Genomic DNA, 13,764 nt, shown 5'->3' with positions numbered 1-13,764 from the left:
GGGCCCCCATCCCCTCATCCTTCCGCTTCAGAGAGGATTGCTGTGGCGGCCCCTCACCCACCTCACAGGGCTGCAGTCCTGGCCACGGGTGGCAGCACATGCCCTTGGTGACCTCTGGTGGCTTTTTCTACCACAGGTCACCCTTGGGGAAGTTGATATCACCAGTGCACAGAGTGCTGGCCCAAAGCAAAGCGACTTGTCTAATGTTACAAAGCCCTTAGTGACATGGTGCCAGAGCTTAAAAATAGGATGGCCCACATACTGCTGTTTCAACCCAGCAAAGGGTAGAGCACTGTGTCCCGGCCCTGTCGGCCTGGGACATCAGGGACAGACCTGCATCCGACTCATTGCAGGGAGGGCCCGCACACCACAGCCCCCAAGTCAAGGGTAAGATTTGTCCCAGGACCTGGAGGAAGGGGGGTGGGTTGAGGTGAAATGTGAGTGACCTGAGTTTCTGTGGGTGCAGGGCTGTCTGTGTCAAGGGCTCGGCATCAGGCCTGACTCACGTGGTGGACTCAGGGCCCTGTTTCTCTAGAAACAAAGTGAGATAAATGGGGTGTTTGTGTTCAGAGCCCCTCATCTGAAGTGCTGCCCCAGGTCATCAGTGGAGCCCGTGTCTCTGTCACGTGACTTAGGTTCACCAGGTAGAAGAGGGCTATTTTATTTGGACTGACAGAACTTCAAACAGCAACGCTTCTGAGAGCCAACTTTTTTTTTTTAAGACAGGGTCTTGTTCTGTCACCCAGGCTCAAGTGCAGTGGCACTGTCATGGCTCTCACTGCAGCCTCTGCCTCCTGGACTCAAGTAATCCTCCACCTTAGCCTCCCGAGTAGCTGAGACTACAGGCATGAGCCACCACACCCAGCTAATTTTCAAAATTTTTTGTAGAGATGTTGTGAGAGCCAATAATTTTGAGAACAAGATTTTACAGTGAGTAAGAAAGCAACTGCTGCTCAAAGAGAGTGTCCTGGCCGGGTGCGGTGGCTCACGCCTGTAGTCCCAGCTTCTCGGGAGCCCAAGGCGGGGGGATCATTCTAGGCCAGGAGTTCAAGGCTACAGTGAGCTAGGTTCATGCCACTGCACTCCAGCCTGGGGCATCCTGATACTTCACAGCTTCTGTACGTCCTTGGGAGAAATATGTTCTCCTATAACTTTGCAGCTGGCTTTATCCGTGTATCATCCCAGCCCAGTGAGTGGCAGGCCAAGTCGGGATTTTCTCAGTCCAAGTAAATTTTTTTTTTTTTTTTGAGACAGAGTTTCACTCTGTCACCCAGGCTGGAGTGCACTCGCGTGATCTCAGCTCACTGCAACCTCTACCTCCCAGGTTCAAGTGATTCTTGTGCCTCAGCCCACCGAATAGCTGGGACTACAGACAAGGCACGTGCCACCATGCCCGGCTAATTTTTTTGTATTTTAGTAGAGACGGGGTTTCACCATATTGGCCAGGCTGGTCTCGAACTCTAGACCTCAGGTGATCCGCCCACCTCTGCCTCCCAAAGTGCTGAGATTACAGGCGTGAGCCACTGCGCCAGGTCCCAAGTAAATTTTTACTTTCTCAACACACAGAGGGAAGCCCCTTCTATTACTTCTGGAGTCTTTCCCTTCTCTTCCTCCTCCCTGCCCTCCTGCCCCTCCTCCCATTCCTTCCTCCCCATGTGTCGGCCCCTGACGTCTCTCTTGGTGCCTCTCCTCCCCAGGCTCAGCAGCACATCACCACGGACCGCACTGGGAGCCACCGAAGGCAGCAGGCCTACATCACTCCCACCATGGCCCAGGCTCCGTACTCCTTCCCGCACAACAGCCCCAGCCACGGCACTGTGCACCCGCATCTGGCTGCAGCCGCTGCCGCTGCCCACCTCCCCACCCAGCCCCACCTCTACACCTACACTGCGCCGGCGGCCCTGGGCTCCACCGGCACCGTGGCCCACCTGGTGGCCTCGCAAGGCTCTGCGCGCCACACCGTGCAGCACACTGCCTACCCAGCCAGCATCGTCCACCAGGTCCCCGTGAGCATGGGCCCCCGGGTCCTGCCCTCGCCCACCATCCACCCGAGTCAGTATCCAGCCCAATTTGCCCACCAGACCTACATCAGCGCCTCGCCAGCCTCCACCGTCTACACTGGATACCCACTGAGCCCCGCCAAGGTCAACCAGTACCCTTACATATAAACACTGGAGGGGAGGGAGGGAGGGAGGGAGGGAGAGAATGGCCCGAGGGAGGAGGGAGAGAAGGAGGGAGGCGCTCCTGGGACCGTGGGCGCTGGCCTTTTATACTGAAGATGCCGCACACAAACAATGCAAACGGGGCAGGGGCGGGGGGGGGGGGGGGGGCAGAGGGCAGGGGGACGGGTCGGGACACCAGTGAAACTTGAACCGGGAAGTGGGAGGACGTAGAGCAGAGAAGAGAACATTTTTAAAAGGAAGGGATTAAAGAGGGTGGGAAATCTATGGTTTTTATTTTAAAAAAGAAAAAGGAAAAAAAAAAAGTCAATAACAAAAAACCCAGCTCAAGAACCCATTCTACGCCAAACTGGAAAGGAGAAGAGAGCAACAGGAAGATTCCAGAAACGGGGGGCCCCAGTTTTTGAAGAACTTTATGAACTTTTCAAAGATTATTTTCATATGGCAGCAAGTGATACGGAAGACTGCTGTCAGGGACACCTGATATGGAAATCAAATAGATTTTTAATTAATTGAACATAAGATTTAGGGATTTTTCCAGAACTCGAAAGGGTCAACAGCCCTCCAGAATGTCGGGCTGCAGCCTGAGGAGGCTGATGTTTGGAGCTGGTGTGGGATTGGCGAAGCCCAGTCCGGGCTCCCTAGTCAGGAAAGACGGGGGACGGCCAGGCTGCTGGAAGGCCCCCGGGGGCGCGGGGCGAGTTTTCTTTTTCTGAGCACTCTGGATAAATCCCTAAGCAACGTTGTTTCTCAAATGTCATTAATAATGTGTGTTGCAAACTTTAGGTTTTTTTCTTTTCTGAAAATGTATTTTCTCTTTGAATCCACCCCTAGTCGCGTAGCGTAGGGCTAGCGGTCGTCACAGACACCCTAGTAGAATGTAGCACTCAGCACCCTTGTCTCCTACCTTGTGTTCAACTCCAATGATACCAATAGAATATTCCTCAATGTAATTGCACAAAAAAAAGCGATATAACATAGGCATGTAACCAATGTGGCGGTGCAGGTGTGCGGGTGAGCGAGCACGTGTGGGTGTGCACGCGCCGCCCTCCCCGCGTGGCCCTCGGCGCCGCCACCCTAGCTGGCGCAGTCTTGACACTGCATCCTTCCCTCCTAGTGCCTTACCGAGCGACAGACGCGGCGTGAGGGTTTACTTCCACTGGTACTCCAAGAAACTGAGGCTAGTCAGACACAATCTCAGCTCTTCTGTTGTGCTGTTGTAACAGTTTACGCTGGCCTTTTTTTTTTCTTTTTCTTTTTCTTTTTAAAATGTTAATGCCCGTTGTCTTTCCTGGGCTGTTTGCTAGCGGAAGGATGCCAGGGAAGCCAGCAGGAGCTAGGAGAGAGTCCGTGGATCTCGAAAGAAATATGGGAGACAGATGCCCGGCGGGTGCGTCTGGAGATGGGGACGGCGGGAGTTGAGTTGTGGCAGTAGTTGAGTTGTAATTTGTGGGCGGAGGCCCAGAGAGACTCCCCACCCTTCACCCCTGCCCCACTCTGTCCCCAGTTCCGCCATTTGTGAGGCCAGAGGTTTCCGGACTGTTGGCCTCGCCAGGCAGCCGTCTCCCGCCCCAGGCGGCATCCCCCAGTCCCTCCCGCCTCCACGAGAGCCTGGAGCTCTCAGCCTCGCCCGGGGCTCCACTCTCTCCTCCGGCTCCCTGGGCTGTTTTGCTCTAACGATCTTGCCAGATCCCTCCCTCTGTAGACAACCACCAACCTCTGTTTGCTGTTGAATTCTCTCCTCACATTACCCAGGTCTGCTCAAGACATGATTTTGGTTTTGGTTTCTGAGGGTTCTAGTGGGCAGAAGGTTGGAGGGACACTTATGAGGGTGGCCGGGGGTCTGACGCTGCACTTTGGAAAAACTCACACAGTTGAATTTCCAAAGAAATCTGCCCTTTGCCCTCTTTGCACCTTTGATACATTCTGGAAGTTTTCTCAGGCTTTGGACACTTCTGGGGATGGAGGTGTGGAGAAGTGGGGAGTTCCCTCTCTTCATAGTAAATAACTCTGAAATATGTGAATGTGAATGGCAGGAGAATCTGGCCAAGGATGGGGCCGAAAAGGGTGGTTCTAATTGTTTGCTTCTGATGTTGAGTCTTTAGCTGACCCCACAGGCAGGTTTCCAAGGTGCAAAGAGATCTTTCCCGAGTCAGCGGCCCCATCCTCATCCTCCCTCCCTTTACTTCCTCACTGTGCAGTCTCCCTCAAGGATCTACTGTGAAAGGTGTGTTTGTAGTGATATCCAACCTAACTCAGTAACGAAGTCGTTACTTAGCTCTTAGCTGTGAAATAACTCTGGAAACTTCCCCACCCCAACCATAAATTCTTACTTATAAAGAAACAGGTCCCCAAACTGGAAACAGCTTAGTCCAGGCCTCAGCGAGAAGGAAGGACACCATGACTGCTCCATGCTGGGCACAGCCGGGCAGTCTTGCCAAGTGCCTGCTGGAGGCTGTGCCGGCAAGAGGCCTGCAGCAAGGAGATTCCCTTCCCTCGGGCCATTATCAATACTGTCTTTATCTGGAGGTGGGGAAGCGCAGCCCTCTGAGACAGCAGGACAATGGTCAGTTCAGAGAGGGTGAGGGCAGCAAACGCTTCAGAGGACACAGAAGCCAGAGGACCCCCCCCCGCCCCACAGCTGGGTCAGCCTGGAAAATCCATCTATTAGGGACTTTTTGGCAGCCAGATGGCAGCAATAGCCCATTAGGTCTCATCCCGAGTTCCAAGTCTTGGCTGCAAATGAGCCTCAGTTCGCCTTACTGGAGAGCACCCCCAGATTCCTGGGCACAGTTCATTTCCAGCCCTTTCTAGATCTGATCTTTTAGGGGGAAAGACAGCTTAAAATGTTCTTTTCATTTTAAAGAAAATTATTCTGTCTGCTTAAGTTGGAGGCTACTTACTCTTTCACCTGACATTTTCTTTCCTTTTATTCTTCCAGATCAGGAATGAAATTTCCATGCTGCTCATAAAGATAATATTATTGTACTAATTATTTTTATTACCATTGTAATTATGATCATTATGTTGATATTTTAGTCAGGGTTTTAAATGCACATTTATTCCAAGTATCTTTGTGTTTTCTCTTTAATATTTAAACTTATTCTCTCTGTGAGTATATAAGTAGACTGGAGGGACATCCAGATGTCCAGTTTTGTCAGGCAAAAAAAAAAAGGAAAGACTTAGGAAGTAGGAAAATTGTTTCTGTCATCTCTATCCCAACAAGAGACGTCAAGAAAGATCCACCACAGAACAAAAGTTTAAAGAAGAATCAAAGCCTTGATTGGGCTTCTGACAACATGGTCACCATCAAGGTTGTCATTTTCTAGATCCCAGAGGCCTGGGATGCGACGTCAGGTGGCATCTCATGGGCTCGGGGAATGTCGAGTCACTGACTGTCCAGCCCTTAGCCAGCTTCTCTCCCACATCCTCAGAGCTCTCCTGTGCTTCTGAAATCTGTTAACTAAATCTTTGGCTTGCCTCTGGTATTTAAGCAAGAAAATTCCCTCCCAGAGGTGACCCCATCCGCTTCCCCACAATCCATCCTTTTGCCATCGGCGCACCTGGGGCGTGGCTTAGGTTCTTCAATGCAGGGACATTTGCCCCCTCCCAGAAGCTGCTGGGCACAGTGAGGTGGCGTAAGAGTGACTGGCAGGTGGTACCTTCCCCAGGAAATTTCACCACACCACCCAGTTCCTCAGCCTGCCCCCTCCCCCTGTGATGCATGCCCCCAGCACCCAATTCTAGCCAGCTGGAAGTGGGTGGAGGGACAGCAGGAGGCCAGAGAAACCCTGAACAAAGCTGGGCGGCTGCTCAGGCATCACAGGCTGCACCCCCTCTGAAAGCATCCCCACTGGGCTCCGGCCACATCTTCAGTGCACTGTGCTGTGTGCGCTGGGTGCTCACACGCTGTCCCCAGACCCACAAAGTGCTAGGCCCCAGTTGAAGAAAGGGGTGAAATAGCCAGCTTCACCGAAGGGAAGGGAAGGGAAGTATTGGGCGATGCCAGCCCCACAGACGCTCAGCAAACATTAGTGCACATTCTCCTAGTCCTCACCCAATGGCCTCCTCTACCCCCATGCATGGAGCTGCCACATCAGAAGCCCCAAGAGAAGCTCCCTGCAGGAGAGGCCAGCTCCCTGGATGCCCAATTGCATACCTGGCCGAATCTGCCATTGAGTCACCTTAGCAAATAGGCTGCTGTCACTAGGACCAAGCTCTCAAGCAGAGGGATGCCAACCTAGTCCTTACTTAGCCCACGAATCATCTAGAGCATCCTCTAGTCTTTTGTGGGCTCCCTCCTTCCCATTTGAAGAGACATTGTTCAGAGGAAGAGGGGAAGATTTGAAATGTCAGGTCACGGAGGAGTGTTTAACTGGAGCCTGGTGAACCGCAGGGCAATTTGCTTCTGCTCACTGGGTTCTGACTGGCCCGTCTGGACGTGGGCCCCCATGTCTCTGTGCTTAGGGCCTCTTCATGATGTTTTGGATGTTTCCAAGGGAAGTGGGTGAGCAGATCAAGGGGTGGGAGAGTCGAGGCTTGATGCCAGTTAATACTGTGAAGTGGAGCGTGCGGTCAGTGGAATTCAGAGGAAAAAGAAGGGTTGGAGCAAAGCGGCATTCATCTCCTGGACTGTTAGCCTTTCTAGTCTTCCTGGTGGCTGAGGTGTTCACGGGCTGGGGGAGCCAGCTGACCTTTGTCCTCTTCAACCTAGAAGACTCAGCCCGCCCAGACACCAACGTGTGAGACGGATGGACATCAGGAAGGGAAGGGGAGATTAGCCCAACTGCTGACAGAACGATTTCCCTTGGTTGGACCTTGGGAATGGCAAACACTCATATTGGAACAAGCTTGGGGTGGAAGATTTAGGCCGTGTGAGCATGTGTGAGTGAGTGGAACAAACTTTCTTGGAAACTGGAGGGAGGAGATGAGGAGGCTTCGGGAAGTATTACTGATGGCTCATGGTTGAGAGAGCGACGTGGGGACCCAGCTCGCCCCAGCTTTTGTCCCAGGTTCTCTTTGTCTGATGCTGAGGGCAGGGTGGGGTGTGGGACCACCACTCTTGTTGGCCTGTCAAGTAGACCCTAGGACAGAAAATGGAAAGAAGGAAATGGCTCGGTGCTCTCAACTAGCAGAGAGAATTGAGGAGAGGTAAGGGTTCCTTCTGCAGGCCAGCCTGGGACTCCACAGCGCCAGCAGGAGTGACTTGGCCACAAGACATTCCAGCCCCAGGGACTTTGCAGGCTTCATTCCCTGTCTGTGTCTTTTCCTTCTGGTGTGTTTTACAGACTTCTGATGGGGAAGCTTCAAACTTGAGCAGGCCAGAGATGTCCTTACCAAATTGGAAAGGAAGGTGAAACTGTTCCTTTCTTTAGCCAAAGAACCCTTCTCAAAGACGCCTCCAGAAATGGACAAAATGGCCTTCCCTTCGTTCCTTTCCAGGCAATAATGACATCATTAGTGATGCAATTCTATTTGTCTTTCTCTTTCCTCTCTGTCCTTTTTTTTAAAAAAAAAAAATGCATTTATTTCAAAACTGTGCTATTCTTTTAAGAGGAGTGGAGGTGACCCCTTCGATGCTGCTGCTATCGGGAGACAAGGTGCCATACCAATACGTGGGCTTGACTAATCCCAGGCCACCATGGGAGAGAGCAAAGCAGGGCTGCCAGGAGTTCAGTTGCATCAAGGGCGTAGAGCACGCGGGGGCTGGGCTCGGAATAGCAGTACTTTTCCACTTTGATGCCTTAGAACTCTCACTTCTCATCTCCACAGACCAGACTCAGTAAAATCTCAGGCCACTAGAGAATGGAAGGCGGTGAAACAGGATTTAAATGCAAAAAAAACCTATTGGAGGCTTTTGGCACCGTGGCTCACTAGAGGGACCCAGCATAGTAGAGGTTTCTCTTGTTGCAGCTTCTGAAAAGTTCAAAAAAGAACTCCAGGCCGTTCTTCCCTCAAACCCAGTGAGAGTTTGCAGAGAAGTGCCCCCTGCAGGGCTCCCGTCCCAGAACACCAGCACCAGAGAGGGTCTTCCCGATGCCCCCCGCTGGACTTGCCCAAGCCTCTGGGAGCCCCTCATCTCAGATCCCTGTGTTGAACATGACACTGACTGTCCCTTATTTGTTAAAATTTGCAATATCTCTCAAGTAAATAATAGCCAACATTTGTTGAATGCTTTCATGACTCCCGGGCTAAGGCCTTTATGAGCGTTGTCTCAAGGGGCCCCAACAGCCATCCCACAGGGAGGGGGATAACAGCCCCCATTTATAGATAAGGGAGCTGACCGGATGCTCTGAGAAGTGGCAGGTGTTGAAGGAAGGATAAAGCAGTGATGGGCCAGAATCCCCAAGGTTCCCTTTTTTGTTCATCAGGCCCTTCCTGAGATGTGATTTTTAATCTTTTAACTTTTTTTAATTAATAGCAATGCGTGGCCTCATATTTCTATGAACCATTTAGTGATACTCCCGCTTCCTGCATGCCACACACTGTGCTGGGAATTGCTCATGGGTTGTCCTGTTTCATCTTCTCCGTAGCCCTGTGAGATCGGCAATATTAGTCCCCCTACAGCCAAGGAAACTGCCCAGAGCCACACAACTCTTGAGGGGCGAGGAGGGCTTGAACCTGAGTCTGCCCAGCTCCAGAACTGAGCTTGCAGCCATTAGCCACAGCTGTCTCCTGCATGTCTGAGCAAAGAAAGGCCTTTACACAGCATCACCCTGTGCCATCCCATGCACCGTGGGACTCAGCTAAAGGACTGTGCAAAGAGGGGGCTCCTGAGTTGGATTTAGGCAAAAGGGGCAGAATTCGTTTGATTTTTAGAGAAAATCTCTGGAGAGTTTCTTTTGATTCATAGAATTCCTTTTAGATTTCTTTCCAGCATACCAACTAGCTTTAGTAGTGCTGCTACAACCAGCTCTTATAAGTAAGAGTGAAAAAGTATTCTTTTCTTCTTTAAAAAATAAGTTTTTCTTGCTTATAGTTAATTCTAGAAAGGCAATACTAAAGGTATATATTTTTTTCAAAATGCTATTTTTTACTGCACTTGATAATTATCCTGACAGCTCTGATCTCTGTAATAGATTCACTCTTCAGCTCTGGGCAGAACCAGAGGCAGGGTTCACACCAAATTTGTAAATACCATATGTGGGTCTGGTGTCCAGGAACTTTTTTCTTTCTGTTAAAAAAAAGAAAAAAAAAAGAAAAAAAAAAAGAAGTAGAGGTGGAAGAAAGACAAGACTTAGAGGAACAAAAGAATGTTTTCTTTTGAGATACTCTTCTCAAAGAAATAGCAACAATTGTATAAACAGGAAAACCAGCCAGCTTTCATGATAAAAGGAAGGCGTGTCTCTTGCCCTGGTATGAGATTAACAGAAATACAGATGCATTTTTATTTTGATTGAAAGATGGTGAGAATGTAGAAATGCTTAGGACTAGATTTTTAATTTTTTAAAATAACTATTATCATTTATTATGAAATATTTGTTCAGTTGTTTTGAGTGGGTTTCTTGTTCCTTTTTTCATTTAAAACCTTCTTTGTTGACTGGCTCCAGGCTTGTTTGCCTAAATTCTTAGGTAGTTTACACAAGTTCTAGAATCTTTTAGAACTTTAACTCCATTGGAAGCAAACCTAACTAATCGGAGTTTGAGATCCTGGTTGGTTTCAATAGGTATTCTGGAATTCTGGCAGAACACCTAAAGATTTTTTTTTTTTTTAGAAGGTTTTAGATACATTATCTTACACAAACTGTGACCTAATGGCAATAATTACCTCAAATGTGGGCATTCATCCTGGTTTTAGCCTTTTTTGAAATCATGTAGCCAGCTTGATCTTGGAATTTAAAGACTATGAATTCTCTGTGGGCTGAAAATAATGATTACTTCATACCCCCGGTCATCGTTGCTTAAGTGAATTCTGAAAATAGCTCATCTTTACAACAAAAATTAAACCAAGGAAGAGATTATTCTTTGTGTGTTGTACTCAAATGCGATGTTCAAATGCACATGTTAAGTATATATGTTTTTAGCTACTGTAAAATGCTGTTAGCCTTCTAAGCTATCAAAACAGTCACATTTTAAATGAGTAAACTAAACAATTGACTGTGGATACTTAAGCATATTTCTGGCTACGTTTTATAGTTAAAGTGTTTTATAGTTTACATTTAGACTGGTACTTTTTAAAGAAAAGTTCTGTTTATAACTGACATCCGCAAACCCCAGTGAATGCCTCTTAGTTGGAGGTTGTGTCTCCCCCAAGGCAAGTGTGTTGTCCCAGACTCTTCTGTAGTCCAGCATGCGCACTTCCCTCTGGATTATTACTTTCCACGTGAACTCAAGAGAACATGAAAGGCAATCCAGATGGAGGGAAAAGGTGTGAGTCCGCAGCCCGGGCCAGATGCGAAGGTCTCATGCGTGTCGTCTAAACACTTGTCTTCAAGGCCTTCTCTCTGACATCTTGGAAGAGTCATTGAGAACAGATAACCTGGTTCATTGATTTTTGTCTTGATTTGAATATTTAACTTATTAATAGATCCACTGATTTCCAGGCACCAGGCAGTAGAAGAGACTGGGATTCAGGTGACCATGAAGGCACAGCTGCTACTTCTGGGCCGGGGGTGATATTTTGATCAGCGTTTTGTAGGGGAGGACCATATACCCCTATTCCCATGGTCGCTGGCTGGGTTTTCCATATATCTGCTGTCATTTATTCGTTTTCCCCTTAAAAGCAAAATCAATGTAAAAGGCTATGTTTACGTTTTACTCATTGTCCAGCTTAGACTCAAAGTCTAGTTCGGTGGGAGGGGGACCTTAGCATCCTCTCAGAGATGGTCAGGGCTGAGCAGGAGGAGGCAGAGACAGAGGGGCAGCTCAGCCTGGTCCATTGAGACCCACTCTAAACAGACATCATATTTGGAACAAGAAGATGCTTCGAGACAGGAATGGGCCCCACTGTCATGCAGAAACAGACTGGGGGAATGGCAGTTTCCCTGAGTCTTGGTTTCTTTTATGTTTTCTCTTGTGCCACCACCAAACTGCAGAGGACCTGCTGTGACCTAAAGGGCATTCCTTTAGCAGATAAGACCTTGAAAACTGCAAAACACCTGGGACCAGGGAGCTTTTAAAAAATACAAAAAAATACCACATTTGCTTTTTCCCTGTGAACTGTATTGACAGCGTGTTCTTAGGACAGTCTTTTGGTGGAAATGTTACTGTAAAATAGTTTTCATCTCACCCCTCCTAATCATACTCCCACTTTCCTGTTTGTGTGGTGGTGTTGCTGTTTTTTCCTTTACATGAATTAACCAAATGAATTTTGTGTCATTGTTTTTGGGGCTTATATTTTTAAAACATAGAAATTGCCTTTTGTTCATTTGAAAAGTAAGTATGTTGTATCTGAAAAAGGGCTCTGCCTCTGCTCTCCCTCGCTTCCTTGTAACCAATCTCCAAACGAATCTCTCCTGGCACCGCCCCCTTCCTTATATAGGGTCACTGTCCCCGGGGCCACCTCTGCCTCCACCCTGCTGTCACCACTGCCCTGGGCCAAGGCACCCAGGACTCCCAGAAAGCGCGAGAGCCAGCAAGAAGGCCCCACTCAGCCTTGAGACTGGTGGTCACACCTCCCTGTCAGAGTCGCCTGCTGGGCTGAAGGGGCAATGGATTGTCATTGTTGAAATTGTTTGGCTCAGGTTATAAGGAGGAACTTGGGAAGTAGAAAGTGACTTGACCATGTGCATCCTTGGTAGCTTCCTGTAACTAACAAATGGAACAGAGAGCACACCCCCGCCCCGCCCCACCCCAAGCAGATGTTCCCGTCAGCGCTGCCCTGAGTCAGTCGGTCCCCCGTTTCTGCTCTCCTCCCTTTTGTGTTCCTGCTCACTTCAAGCTTCTTCCATGGACTTTCCAGGGCACAGTCATCTCTAGCCCCCAAATCATCTCTTCATCCTCTGTGTGTGCATTTTTTTAACCAAATGAAATAGACAAGAAAGTCATACTTTGGGGCAGCAGAATTTCTAATTTAGTAGAATCACTGTATAGAGATAGATGTTGATATATATGTTTGTGTATATATATCAAACCAAATTGGATAGGAGAAGTATAGCTTTACAGATGAGGAGAAGGAGCTCTTTAGAGGTCGGAGTCAAGACTGGTGTCTTGGACGTGCATGGGCTGTGTCCCAGGCCACTCCGCACACATGGGGCTGAGGCGTGGCGCCGGGCCCTTGTCATCCACCTCACCACGGCAGAGCCAGCAGGCCCTGTAGGGTGCTGCTGCTGTCTCACTGGGTCCCAGCTTCAAGCGCATCAGTGGGTGACGGGGGCAACAAATCAGAGTGACTGGAAGTTTCCATCCCGTTTTGCTTTGACCACGTGTACTGAGCTGCAGCCTCTGATACTCTGTCACGTTTCCAAAAATGGTATCCATTAGGATAGAAAGAGAATGGATCTGCAGAAATGTTTACCTTTCAACTGCTCATGAATTCAGGACACTGGATAGAAAGACTCACTCCCCAAAATGAGAACAGGGAAGAGGAGACCCGGCGACACTAAGTCACCAGGTCCAAGGAACGTGGCTCCCTCCCCAGGGTCATCTCACCTAGATCTTTCTCTCCCAGGTCATCTCAGCTCAATCTCAATAACCCTATGAAAGCCCTGGTCTGTTGTGTTCCTTCACCGTACGGTTTCTGTAATAAAAAGTGTTAATCCATGTTAATCTGTGTGAAAATTATTGCGTGCAACAGTATTTTCTCGTGTACCTCTTTTTCCTATGTGAATTGTCCCTCTTTTTTATTTATAAATGTCTACTTTTGTTTTTTTAAAGACAAACCAATGTGTTGTAGACCTATATGTAACCTATTCCTTAGTCTCATATTATAGGTATGTTATAAGAATGGATATTTTACTTGGCTTTAGAATGTTTTACAAGAAAACTAATTCTTAACTGATCAAGTCCTTGCTACTAAAATGCTTGTGTTTTTCATCATGACGTCGTGTGCTTCTAAATTAATCATTTTCGTTGTAGAAAAATGGAGTGAATTTATATTAGTCTTGGAAACTAATAATAGCATTGTAAATTTATGAGATGATTTTAACAGAAAAAATATAGAAGAATATAGTTATTTTAATTGTAATATTACTAACTGTAGGGTGAGAAAAAGGGGGGGGGGTCCCATTGTGGTGAACTATGTTATAGCTTGTTACTCATAGTTTCTTTTTGATCATTTTTTCGGTCTCCGAGGTGAAATGACTTATTAATTAAAATTTGTAAACTCACATATGCATATTGTATATGTGTAGAAATGTAATCACACTTTGTCTTGGAATTACATTAAACTGTTTGAAATCACTGTACACCTGCCTGGCATGCTTATTTATCCTGGAACCAGACCTGTCATAAAAGCGAAGAGGTTATTGTTACAAGTAACATATTTGGGGTTTGTTTGTTTATTTAGATGGAGTTTTGCTCTTGTTGCCCAGGCTGGAGGGCAATGGCACGATCCTGGCTCACTGCAAACTCCGCCTCCCAGGTTCAAGTGATTCTCTTGCCTCAGCCTCCCGAGTAGCTGGGATTACAGGCATGCACCACCACG

The 13,764-nt window shown here is 48.2% G+C and overlaps 1 protein-coding gene across 13 annotated transcripts in view, besides 2 other annotated features; it reads left to right on the top strand.

Annotated features, from left to right (window-relative positions):
• The window catches only part of HIPK2 (homeodomain interacting protein kinase 2), a 216,429-nt gene extending 202,904 nt beyond the window's left edge, over nt 1-13,525 (top strand). For all 13 annotated transcript variants that reach the window (XM_047420265.1, NM_001113239.3, XM_047420260.1 and 10 more), the window contains one exon: nt 1,698-13,525. In XM_047420265.1, the coding sequence (XP_047276221.1) occupies nt 1,698-2,168 (471 nt within the window). In that variant the 3' untranslated portion in view covers nt 2,169-13,525. The remainder of the gene's footprint in view (nt 1-1,697) is intronic.
• Nucleotides 5,504-6,004: an enhancer, noted in NCBI's record as "H3K4me1 hESC enhancer chr7:139253837-139254337 (GRCh37/hg19 assembly coordinates)". NCBI's record gives its function as "activates a minimal SCP1, AML or CMV promoter by ChIP-STARR-seq in primed H9 embryonic stem cells {active_cell/tissue: H9 hESC(primed)}" and the evidence as "EXISTENCE:reporter gene assay evidence [ECO:0000049][PMID:30033119]".
• Nucleotides 6,005-6,505: an enhancer, noted in NCBI's record as "H3K4me1 hESC enhancer chr7:139253336-139253836 (GRCh37/hg19 assembly coordinates)". NCBI's record gives its function as "activates a minimal SCP1, AML or CMV promoter by ChIP-STARR-seq in primed H9 embryonic stem cells {active_cell/tissue: H9 hESC(primed)}" and the evidence as "EXISTENCE:reporter gene assay evidence [ECO:0000049][PMID:30033119]".
• Nucleotides 13,526-13,764: the final 239 nt, after the last annotated feature.

This window comes from Homo sapiens, chromosome 7 (assembly GCF_000001405.40).
Source record: "Homo sapiens chromosome 7, GRCh38.p14 Primary Assembly".
Classification (NCBI taxonomy): domain Eukaryota; kingdom Metazoa; phylum Chordata; class Mammalia; order Primates; family Hominidae; genus Homo; species Homo sapiens.
This window is presented reverse-complemented; position numbering and strand designations above follow the sequence as displayed.